Genomic DNA, 12622 nt, shown 5'->3' on the forward strand with positions numbered 1-12622 from the left:
CTAGGGGGAAGCTTCCAAGCCTCCTTAACTCTTGTATTCCATGTGCCCACAGACTTAACACCATGTGGAAGCTGCCAAGGCTTATGGTGGCTTGCACTCTCCAAAATGGCTTGTTACTTCTTATTGGTCATTTCAGGTTTTGGATTTCTTCATGGTTCACTCTTGGTAGGTTGTATGTGTCTAGGTATTTATCTATTTTTCTAGGTTTTCCAATTTATTAGCATATAGTTGCTCATAGTAGCCTCTAGTGATCCTTTGAATTTTTGCCCTATCATTTGTAGTGTCTCATTTTTCGTTTCTTATTTTATTTATTTGGGTCTTCTCTCTTTTTTCTTAATCTGGCTCAAGGTTTGTCCATTTTGTTTTATCTTTTTTAAAAAACAACCTTTTGTTCATTGACATTTTGTAGTTTTCTTCATTTCAATTTCATTTGTTTCTGATGTGATCTTTATTATTGCTTGCTTGCTTGCTTGCTTTTTTTTTTTTTTTTGAGACAGGGTGTCTCTCTGTCACCCAGGCTGGAGTGCAGTGGCACGATCTCAGCTCACTCCAACCTCCGTCTCCCAGGCTCAAGTGATCCTCCTGCCTCAGCCGCCTGACTAGCTGGGACTACAGGCATGTGCCACCATGCCCAGCTAATTTTGTATTTTTTTGTAGGGACAGGGTTTTGCCATGTTGCCCAGGTTGGTCTCAAACTCCTGAGCTCAGGTGATCCGCCCACCTCAGCCTCCCACAGTTCTGAGATTACACGCGTGAGCCACTACACCTGGCCTGTTATTTCTTTTTTCTACTAATTTTAGATTTGGTTTGCTCTTGACTTTCTTGTTCTTTAAGATGCATCATTAGGTTGTTTATTTGATGTTTTTCTTCTTTTTTGATGTAGGCACTTTTTAACTGTAAGCTTTCCTCTTAGTACTGCTTTTGCTGTATTCCATATGTTTTGACATTCTGTGTTTCCATTATCATCTGTTTCAAGAAATTTTTCAATGTCCTTCTTAATTTCTTTCTTGACATACTGTTCATTTGGGAACATATTGTTTAATTTCCATGTATTCGTAGTCTCCAAAATTCCTCTTGCCATTGATTTCTAGTTTTATTCCATTGTGATCAGAGAATATACTTGATATTATTTGGATTTTTTTGAATGTTTAAGACTTGTTTTGTGGCCTAATGTATCGTCTTTGCTTGAGAATGATTCATGCGCTAAGGAGAAAATTGTACATTCTAAAGTCATTGGATGAAGTGTTCTGTAAATATCAATTAGGTTAATTTAGTCTGTAGTGCAGATTAAGTCCAGTGTTTCTTTGTTGATTTTCTGTCTGGGTGATCTGTTCAATGCTGAAAGAGGAGAGTTGAAGTCTCCAGCTATTGTTGTATTGGGGTCTATCACTTCCTTTAGCTCTAGTAATATTTGCTTTATATATCTAGGTACTTCAGTGTTGAGTGCATATATATTTATGGTTGTTATATCCTCTTGCTGAATTGAATTATGTATAATTATATAATGACCATCTTTGTCTCTTTTTGTAATTTTCATCTTGAAATCTATTTTGTTAGATGTAAGTATTGCTATTCTTGCTCTTTTTTGGTTTCTGTTGGCATAGAATATCTTTTTCCATCCCTTTATTTTCAGCCTGTGTGTGTCTTTATAGGTGAAGTGTATTTCTTGCAGACAACGATCCTTGGGTCTTGTTTTTAAATCTATTCAGCCATTCTATGTCTTTGATTGAAGAGTTTAGTCCATTTACATTCAATGTTATTATTGATAAGTAAGGACTTACTTCTGCCTTTTTCTTATTTGTTTTCTGGTTATTTTGTGGTCTTTTCTTCCTTCTTTCCTTCCTTCCTGTCTTCCTTTTAGTGAAGGTTATTTTCCTTGGTGTTATGTTTTAATTTCTTATCTTTTATTTTTTTGTGTATCCATTGTATGACTTTTGGTTTAAGGTTACCATGAGACTTTCAAATAAAATCTTGAAACCTATTATTTTATTCTTATGTTTGCAGTATATGCTTGTTTGTGCCCATCTTTCTTGGGAAGGCTTTCCAGGTATTTGAAGAGCCTTGAATGTTGTGATCTAAGTTTTTGGTCACTGCAGCCATATCTGCATTGGGACTCACCCCAAGCCAAGTAATACTGTGGTTCTTGCAGACTCTTAGAGGTACTGCTTTGGTGTTCTTGAATAAGATCCAGAAGAATTCTCTAGATTACCAGGCAGAGACTCTTGTTTCCTTCCCTTACTTTCTCCTAAACAAATAGAGTCTCTCTCTCTCTCTGTGCTGAGTCCATGGAGCTGGTGGAGAAGTAACACAAGCATTCTGGTGGCCTACACCACTGGGACTGTGCTGAGTCAGATATGAAGCCAGCATAGCACTGGGTCTCACCCAAACCACTACCTGGCTACTGCCTATGTTCACTCAATTTCCTAAGGCACTACAGTCAGCAGACAGTGAAGCCAGCTAGGTGTATGTCCTTCCCTTCATAGCAGGGAGTTCCCCTGATCCCGAGCAGGTCCAGAAATGCCATCCAGGAGCCAGAGCCTGGAGTCAGAAACCTTAGAAATCTATGTGATGCTCCATTCTATTGTGGCTGAACTGGCACGCAAGCAACAAGACAAAATTCATCCCATTCTTCACTCCCCTTTCCACAGGCAGAGGACTCTCTCCCTGTGGCCACCACCACTGCAGACCCACAGGTGATATTGCCAGGCTACCGACATTGTTCAGTTAAGGCCCAAGGGCTCGTCTGTCAGCTTGTGCTGCATGCTGCCAGGCTTGGGACTTACCGTTCAGGTCAGTGAGCTCCCCTTTGGTTCAGGGCAGGACCAGAAATGCCATCAAAGCCAAGGCCAGGAATCTGGGACCTCAAGAGCCTACCTGGTGCTCTGCCCTGCTGTGGCAGAGCTGGTACCTAAGCTGCAAGGCAAAGTCCCCTTTACTTTTCCCTCTGCTTTTCTCAAACAGAAGGAGTCTCTCCTCATGGCCACTACAGCAGGGAAGTGCTGGGTCACACCTGATGTCAGCACATCTCAAGAGTCTCACCCAAAGCCCCCAGTGTGTACTAGGCTACTGTTGCTGATTATTCAGGGCCCAAGGACTCTTTAGTCAGCAGGTGATGAATGCTTCCTGGACTGAGTGCATCCATTCAAGGCAGAAAGTTCCCTTCTGGCCCAGGGTGTGTCTAGAAATGTTCAGGAGCTAGGGCCTGGAATGGGTGCCACAGTACTCTGCCCAGTGTCCTTTCCTGTGGCTGAGCTGGTATCCAAGTTTCAAGACAAAGTCCCCTGTACTCTTTTCTCTCCTTTCCTCAAGCAGAAAGGATTCTCTTTCAGAGCTGAGAGCTACACTGCCTGGGGTTGGAGGAGGGGTGGCACAAGCACACCTGGCTGGTGTCTCACTGGGTCACATGTCCCCCAAGTCCTCCAGGTCTAGATTGCCTTTTAAGTTTCTTTTGGACCCCCAAGCACTTTAGCCCACAGTGGCAAGGCTTGGCCGAAATTCATGCTCTGACTGATGGGATGGGTAATTCCCTTCTAGCTAGGGCTGGTCTAAATGCTCCCTCCGTGAGCATTGGTTGAGTTCTGCCCAATGCTGCTTTCTGCTCTGACAGTGTAGCACTGGGTTCCAATGCAAAGTCCCACAATCACTGTGCTCTCCCTCCCCCAAGCACACAGATTCTCCAGGCTTCACAGCTGCTGCCAGGGAGTGGGGGAGGGGTGGCATCAGCAATTCAAGACCGTCTTTCTTTCCCTCTTCAATACCTCTTTCAGTGATATGATGTTAAAACCAGGTAATATGATCACTCACCTGATTTTTGGTTCTTATGAAGGTGCTTTCTTGTGTAGATAGTTGTCAAATTTGGTGTTCCCGCAGGGAGGACAACTGGTGGAGGCTTCTGTTTAGCCACATTGCTCTGCCTCCTACCCAATATCATATTTTAAACACCTTCATCAGACTATAGCTTACAAATCATAACATCACACATTTTAAGGATATTTAGATTATTTTTACCAAATGTATAGAGTTGTACAACCATCACCATAATTGGGTTTTTATATGTTTTCATCATCCCCAAGAATCCCATTATGCTTGAATGTAGTTAATCCCTGCACACACACCCAGCCCTATGCAATCACAGATATATTTTCTGTCTATGCATTTGCCAGTTCTGGAGATTTTATATAAATTGAATCAATTAATGTTTGGTATTTTGTGTCTGGCATCTTTTACTTATTATAATGTGTTCAAGGTTCCTCCATAATGTACCATGGGTCAGAATTCCATTCCAACTAATAGCTTAAAAATATTCTATTGCATAGATACACCACATTTTGTTTATTTGTTTATTTATTTATTTATTTATTTATTTATTTATTTTGAGATGGAGTATTGCTCCATCGCCCAGGCTGGAGTGCAGTGGTACAATCTCAGCTCACTGCAACCTCTGCCTCCCAGTTACAAGTGATTCTTCTGCCTCATCCTCCCAAGTAACTGGGACCACAGGTGTGTGCTATCATGCACAGCTAATTTTTTTGTGTGTTTTTAGTAGAGATGGGGTTTCACCATGTTGGCCAGGCTGGTCTTGAACTCCTGACCTTGTGATCCACCTGCCTCGGCCTCCCAAAGTGTTGGGATTACAGGCGTGAGCCACCGTGCCTGGTCCATTTTGTTTATTTATTCACCTATTGATGAACACTCTGGTTATTTCCACCTTTTGGCTATTATGAATAATGATTCTACATACATTTGTGTACACATTTTTATGTAGAGATTCATCTTGGGTAGGAAAGGAATTACTGGGCCATATGGTAACTCCCTGTTTTTCCATTTGAAAAACTGCTAAACTGTTTTCATGATTCTGACAGTGATGAGGGGTATAGACTTAGATTTTTTTTTTCTGATTATACTGAGGTAATGCGTTCTGAGAAAAAATACCAGCATTGAAGTGCCCTTCTTGTCACTTCATTTCTGGTAGTACATGATACCCATCTCACCTCACTGGTGATATTAACCTTAATCACTTGGTTAAGGCAGTATTTGCCAAGTTTCTCCAGTGTACAGCAACTGTTTTCCATTTGCCTACTTTTATTCTATATAAGTGAGTTACTAAGTCTGTCCTGTCATCAGGTGATGGGAGGTGGAATTAAGCTTCACTTCATAGAGGGAGGGTATCTATGTGTACTATTTGGAATTATTTGATAAAGACAATTTGTCTCCTCACACCTATTTCTTTATTAATTTACACGTTTACTTCTGTAAGTATACATATATGTATATTTATTATATAGATTGGGTTATTTACTGAATGGATTCATTCCAAAAGAAAATCTGGCATTATGATTTCTGTGATGCAGTATAAGTATTTTGACTTAAGAGTGAGGAACCCACAAAAGAGTACCCTATCACTATCATAATATTTCAACACTATCATATCATCTAATTGTAGTATATTAGACAGGGTTTGTAGGTGATACATTTAACCAGACAAATATGACACATTATAATTTCAGATTATTGATTTGCATACTTGGAAATCCCTTCAGAAAGAAATAAAAACAGATAAGATTGAGGTTATTGAAGTGATCATGAAAAATTATTGTTATCATTCAGTAAACCTACTCACAAAATTCCTTTCACTGAAGCCAAAGTATGGGGTGTAGGGGAAAATGTGTGCTTCATTTGAAAGCACAATGTTCTATAGCACAGCCTTCATGTCATCAGAGTCTCCAGAATGGATCAAGCAAATAAAGTGTGGAAAGGGTGGTGCAGTAAATTCAGATGTCAGATCTAACAAAAGATGGTTCATTCCTATTAATATTTCAGCCTCATAAAGTCTCTTACAATTGATGATTGTAACACATAATTTAATGCCCTGGACCTCTCTCTACATCTCTAGTTACTACCCTCTTTATATATATTCTCTTCCTTGTAACCAAAGTTCTACAAAAATTATCAATTCTCAACTCATATCCCTCTACATCTTCCCCCAACTCAGTTGTCACTCCACTCTAATGGTACTTTGTTCCCCCACCCTTCTACTGAAATGAACCTTGTCAAAGTCAACAACCACATCTTTGATGCTTTATATAGATCAAGGGTACTGAAATGAACGTTCAAATGGAGACAACATTTTTGTTTTCCAAGGCAGAATTCATCTGCTTGTGTACAGACAAGGATTATATTGCAATGCTGTCATTATCTAAAAGTTAAAGTTGTAAGATAGCTTCCATTCTGGAGAAGTCTAAAACTTAACCAAAGAAATGGTGTACAGTTTGTCCTTAATGCCTGTTACCTGTATGAATGTATGTATGTATGTATGTATGTATGGAAGCATGATGTGTGAAATATGTGCTGGTAATTCATGGATTTCCATCTTGGATCAGTAGGAAAGCAAGATTTACTTGGTTATGGTGTGATGTGCAGCTGAGAGTCACACAGTCTGCACAAGGACATATAGGATACCAGTCTCTACTTTTCCACTTAGTAGCAGGATGACCCTCAGCCAGGTTACTTAACCTCCCCATACATTGTTTCTTCAGCTACAAAACAGTGTAGCAATCGTATTCCCTACCCCCCAGAAAATACATGAGATGAAAAAGTACCAGCATTCAGGAAAGGTGAGTCCCATGGCTCTCTGATCTGAGGTCAGGAGTCCTGCCCTTCTATGGGGCTTCTAACTATTCATGTGGCTTTGCAACTTGCCCCTTTTCATCAAAAATAGCTTCTGTATAAGTTTTAATTTGCATTTCATTAGTGAATGTGTTTTCAAATATTTCTTGGGCATGTGTATTGCTTTTTACATGAATTATCTGTGTATATCTGTATTATTTATCTATTCTTACATAACAAATTTCCCCACAATTTCACTGCTTATAACAAATATACATTAATTCACACCATTTATTTGGGTTAGGAATAATGGCATGGATAAGATTCTAGCTCAGGGCCTCTCACAAGGCTGCAGTCAAGGTCTAGGTAGGGGCTGCAGGCATCTCAAGTCTCAACTGAGGGACGATTCAATTCCAAGCTCATTCATATGGCTGTGGGCAGGCCTCAGAGCCCGATTGCTTCTTAGCCAGGGACATAGATTACTTGCCATGTGGGTAGCCCACGACATGGCAGCTGGCTCTCCTTAGTGCAAGAATAAGAATGTACCCAACAAGCAAGACACAGCCTTAGTCATTTAATGTGAAAAATGACATCCATCTCCTCTCACATATTCTGTCTACTAGTAGCAAGTCACTAACTCCAGCCCAAAGATGGGACAGATTGCACAAGGAAGTGACTATCTGGAGGTGACAATCACTGGGGGGAAGTCTTAGAGGCTATCTACCAATGTCATCATTAGAGCCTCTCTCCATATTGGTTACTAAGAATGCTTCATATATTATGAGCATCAGCCCCATATAATTTGCAAGTGTTTGCTATAGCCTGCACAGACAACTTTAATGATTTCTTGTGTCATATACAATGTTTTAAAATTTTCAATATTATAATTTAAAATATAGCTTATTATATAAATAAATTAAGGAGTACCCTGAGCAGCTTTACATGTGAGTGCTCAGGGAGATTAGAGAACTCAGATTCCTGGTGGCTTCAGGGCTCAACAGGAAAAGCTTTAGTGAAATTCCAGAATCTATTACTGAGCAGGCATTAACAAAGCAGTTTCTCTGATTTATTGAACCTCTCCTAATTTCCTATAGCCTGATCTAAAGTATATTTAATAATAGATTACTTGAATAAATGATAAGATTAAAGGAGATACAGCTTATGGTACTTCTTGCTTGTATTAGTTTTGTCAACATTGATTTCCTACCTTCATGTTATCTGTTCCAGAGGAAAAACCTGTTTTCCTGACTGAGTCCCTTTGCTTCCCACCTTAAAAGCCAGTCAATTCATGTGGTCCCCATTCCCAGGATTCTTGACCCCAGGCTGCGTATTTCATTCCAACCGTCATCACTAAGAAGGTTTGTTGAGTGAGTACCCATGGGAGATTGTAAAATGACCAGTCCCTAAGCCCTCATAGCCTATCATCTACACAAGAGGTCACTGGGTATATGCAGTGCTTCTCAACCTTCTTTAATCATCTTCTTGATGGAGGCCCTTTTGGACATGTTTTTTCTTATATACCCTTTCTGCCCAGAACATGAAATTTTAATACCACAGATGAAGTGTAACTATTTATATACTATGGTCTTTGTAATACCACAAACCATTGTAATATCTACCATCCCTCTACCCTCAAGAACCAGTTTTCAACCTTTCACTTGCGTCCGTGTGAAGAGACCACCAAACAGGCTTTGTGTGAGCAATAAAGCTTTTCATTTCACCTGGGTGCAGGCGGGCTGAGTCCGAAAAGAGAGTCAGCAAAGGGAGATAGGGTTGGGGCCGTTTTATGGGATTTAGGTAGGTAAAGGAAAATTACAGTCAAAGGGGATTGTTCTTTGGCGGGTGGGGGCGGGGGTCACAAGGTGCTCAGTGGGGGAGCTTTTGAGCCAGATTGAGCCAGGAGAAGGAATTTCACAAGGTAATGTCATCAGTTAAGGCAGGAACAGGCCATTTTCACTTCTTTTGTGATTCTTCAGTTACTTAAGGCCATCTGGATGTATATGTGCAGGTCACAGGGGATATGATGGCTTAGCTTGGGCTCAGAGGCCTGGCATTCCTGTCTTCTTATATTAATAAGAAAAATAAAACGAAATAGTGGTAAAGTGTTGGGGTGGTGAAAATTTTGGGGGATGGTATGGAGAGATAATGGGCGATGTTTCTAAGGCCTGCTTCGAGCGGGATTAGGGGCAGTGTGGGAACCTAGAGTGGGAGAGATTAAGCTGAAGGAAGATTTTGTGGTAAGGGGTGATATTGTGGGGTTGTTAGAAGAAACATTTGTCGTATAGAATTATTGGTGATGGCCTGGATACGGTTTTGTATGAATTGAAAAACTAAACGGAATAGGAGAAGGAGAAAAACAGGTATTAAAGGACTAAGAATTGGGAAGACCCAGGACATCTAATTAGAGAGTGCCTAAGGAGGTTCAGCATAGCACTGCCAGCAAAGATTATTTATTTACTTTAAGAGTTAAGAGTGGCGGTTTGGGGATAGCACCAGGAGATATTAGCTGCGATGGCTTGGAGAAACAGTGTAAACCTGCAGTGTAAAGAGCAGGGCATTTATGAGTAGTTGAGAACGGTGAATAGGATTATGACTAGACAGAAGATAGTAGGGATGACAAGTTTTTTGGGGCACAGTCCAAGTTGGGCTGGTGTCTGGAATGAGACTGGGGCCTAGTAAAAAGGAGCATCCATACAGGAGCTCAAATGGGCTGTACCCTGTAGCATTCTGAGGACAGGCCCGAATTCTGAGAAGGGAAAGTGGTAAAAGTATTGTCCAGTCCTTTTTAAGTTGGTGGCTGAGCTTGGTGAGGTGTGTTTTTAAAAGACTACTCGTCTGTTTTACCTTTCCTGAAGATTGAGGATGGTAAGGGATATAAAGGTTTTACTGAATACCAGGAGCCTGAGAAACTGCTTGGGTGATTTGACTAATAAAGGCCGGTCCATTATCGGACTGTATAGAGGTGGGAAGGCTAAACTGAGGAATTATGTCTGATAGAAGGGAAGAAATGACTGTGGTGGCCTTCTCAGACCCTGTGGGAAAGGCCTGTACCCATCCAGTGAAAGTGTCTACCTAGACCAAGAGGTATTTTAGTTTCCTGACTTGAGGCATGTGAGTAAAGTCAATTTGCCAGTCCTGGGCAGGGGCAAATCCCCGAGCTTGATGTGTAGGGAAGGGAGGGGGCCTGAGAAATTCCTGAGGAGTAGTAGAATAGCAGATGAAACACTGAGAAGTGATTTCTTTGAGCATAGATTTTCACGATGGAAAGGAAATGAGAGGTTCTAAGAGGCGGGCTAGCAGCTTGTAACCTACAAGGAAGAGGTTATGAAATGACGACAGAATAGAATGGGCCTGTGAGGCTGGAAGGAGATATTTTCCTTGGTCTAAGAACCATTTGCCTTGTGTGGGAAGAGATTGATAGGTGGAAGTTTTAGTGGGGGAGTAGGTAGGAGTGGCCAGATGAGAAGGAGAAAAACTGCCATGAGGGATAGAAGTTGGAACGCTAGTTGCTTTTTTAGCTATCTTATCAGCATAAGTATTGTCCTGAGCAATGGATCTGATGCCTTTTGATGGCTGTTTTTTTAGCTACCTTATCAGCATAAGCGTTGTCCTGAGCGATGGGATCTGATGCCTTTTGATGGCCCTTGCAGTGAATGAGTCTAGCTTCCTTTGGAAGTAAAGCCGCTTTGAGAAAAGCTTTTATTAAAGAGGGCATTAATGATGGAGGACTCTTGCATAGTGAGGAAATTTTTTTTCCCCATATAACAGCATGGTGGTGTAGGATATGGAAGGCATATTTAGAGTCAGTATAAATATTGATGCATAGTCCTTTTGCAAGAGCGAGGGCTCGAGTTAAGGCAATGAGTTTGGCTTGCTGAGAGGTGGTGGGGGGCAGAAAGTATATGCGTCAGGTGTGAGGAAGAAAATAGATTTGGGAAGTTTTGAGAACTGTAGAGAGTGAGTTGAGCATAGTTTGTGATTTTGAGGGCCTCTAAAAGTATTAAGGCAGCGGCAGCCGCCGCACGCAGACATGAGGGCTAGGGTAAAACAGTAAGGTCAAGTTGTTTATATAAAAAGTCTACAGGGCGTGGTCCCGGTCTGTGTGTAAGAATTCCAACTGCACAGCCCTGCACTTTGGCTGTTTGTAATGAAAAGGGTTGGGATGAGTCAGGGAGAGCAAGTGTGGGGGCAGTTTCTAGGGCTGTTTTTAAGGAACTGAAAGGAGTGGTGAAAGGATTTAGGATCTGTGGGGTGCTTTTGTGAGTTTATATAATGGTTTAGTCAGGGTGGTAAAACTAGGTATCCAAAGGCGGAAGTACCTAACCATGCCTAGGAAGGAAAGGAGTTGTTGTTTTGTAGAAGGGATTGGGGTTTGGGAGATTAGCCAGACACGATCAGCAGGGAGAGCATGTGTGTTTTCATGAGAATTATGCCAAGATAGGTAACAGATGAGGAAGAAATTTGGGCTTGACTGAAGTAATGGGGGCCGTCTGTGAAGCCTTGTGGCAGTACACCCAGGTAAGTTGCTGAGGCTGAAGGGTGTCAGGGTCAGTCCAAGTGAAAGCGAAGAGTGGCTGGGATGAAGGGTGCAAAGGAATCGTAAAGAAAGCATGTTTGAGATCCAGAACAGAATAATGGGTTGTGGAGGGAGGTATTGAAGATAGGAGACTATATGGGTTTGGCACCATGGGGTGGATAGGCAAAACAATTTGGTTGATAAGGTGCAGATACTGAACTAACCTGTGAGGCTTGTCTGGTTTTAGGACAGGTAAAATGGGGGAATTGTAAGGAGAGTTTATAGGCTTTAAAAGGCCATGCTGTAACAGGCAAATGATAACAGGCTTTAATCCTTTTAAAGTGTGCTGTGGGATGGGATATTGGCATTGAGCGGGATAAGGGTGATTAGGTTTTAATGGGATGGTAAGGGGTGCATCATCCATCACTAAGGGAGTAGAGGTGTCCTATACTTGTGGATTAAGGTGGGGAGATACAAGGAGAGGATGTGAAGGAGGCTTTGAACTCGGGGAAAAGGTGGTAATGAGGTGTGGCTGTAGCCTAGGAATAGTCAGGGAAGCAGATAATTTAGTTAAAATGTTTTGACCTAATAAGGGAGCTGGGCAGGTGGGGATAAATAAAAAGGAGTGCTTAAAAGAGTATTGTCTAAGTTGACACCAGAGTTGGGGAGTTTTAAGAGGTTTCGAAGCCTGGCCATCAATACCCACAACAGTTATGGAGGCAAAGGAAACAGGCCCTTGAAAAGAAGGTAATATGGAGTGGGTAGCCTCCATATTGATTAAGAAGGGTACGGACTTACCCTCCACTGTGAGAGTTATCTAAAGCATCTGTGATGGTTCCTGTAGGCTTCTGAGGCGATCGGGCAGCATCAGTCTTTAGCCACTAAGTCAAGAAGATCTGGGAAGGAGTCAGTCAGAGAGCCTTGGGCCAGAGTTCCAGGGGCTCTGGGAGTGGCTGCTGGGTGAGTTGGACAGTCTGATTTCCAGTGGGGTCCCATACAGATGGGACACGGCTTAGGAGGAATCCTGGGCTGTGGGCATTCCTTGGCCCAATGGCCAGATTTCTGGCACTTGAAGCAAGTTCCTGGGGGAGGTGGTCCTGGAGGAATGCCTGGCCGCTGTGGTTTAGGCGTTTGGAAGTTCTTGTGTGCTGGAGATGTGGCTGGGGTTTCTCCCACAGTGGAGGCAAGGAATTGCAACTCAGAAATATGTTGCTACTTGGCTGCCTCTATTGTATTATTGTATACCTTGAAGGCAAGGTTAATTAAGTCCTGTTGTGGGGTTTGAGGTCCGGAATTTGATTTTTAGAGTTTTATTTAATGTCGGGAGCAGATTGGGTAATAAAATGTATATTGAGAATAAGATGGCCTTTTGACCTTTTAGGGTCTAGGGCTCTAAAGCGTCTCAGGGTTGCTGCCAAACGAGCCATGAACTGGGCTGGGTTTTTATATTTGATGAAAAAGAGCCTAAATGCTAACTGATTTGGGAGAGGTCGGATAAAG

The 12622-nt window shown here is 41.9% G+C and overlaps 1 long non-coding RNA gene across 7 annotated transcripts in view, besides 1 other annotated feature; it reads left to right on the forward strand.

Moving 5' to 3' along the window:
- Positions 1 to 12622, forward strand: part of LL0XNC01-250H12.3 (uncharacterized) — a 113164-nt gene that overhangs the window by 16015 nt on the left and 84527 nt on the right. The gene's annotated exons all lie outside the window — the stretch shown is intronic.
- Positions 3425 to 3926: an enhancer, noted in NCBI's record as "NANOG hESC enhancer chrX:102679147-102679648 (GRCh37/hg19 assembly coordinates)". NCBI's record gives its function as "activates a minimal SCP1, AML or CMV promoter by ChIP-STARR-seq in naive H9 embryonic stem cells {active_cell/tissue: H9 hESC(naive)}" and the evidence as "EXISTENCE:reporter gene assay evidence [ECO:0000049][PMID:30033119]".

The sequence above is a fragment of the Homo sapiens genome, chromosome X (genome assembly GCF_000001405.40).
Source record: "Homo sapiens chromosome X, GRCh38.p14 Primary Assembly".
Lineage (NCBI taxonomy): Eukaryota > Metazoa > Chordata > Mammalia > Primates > Hominidae > Homo > Homo sapiens.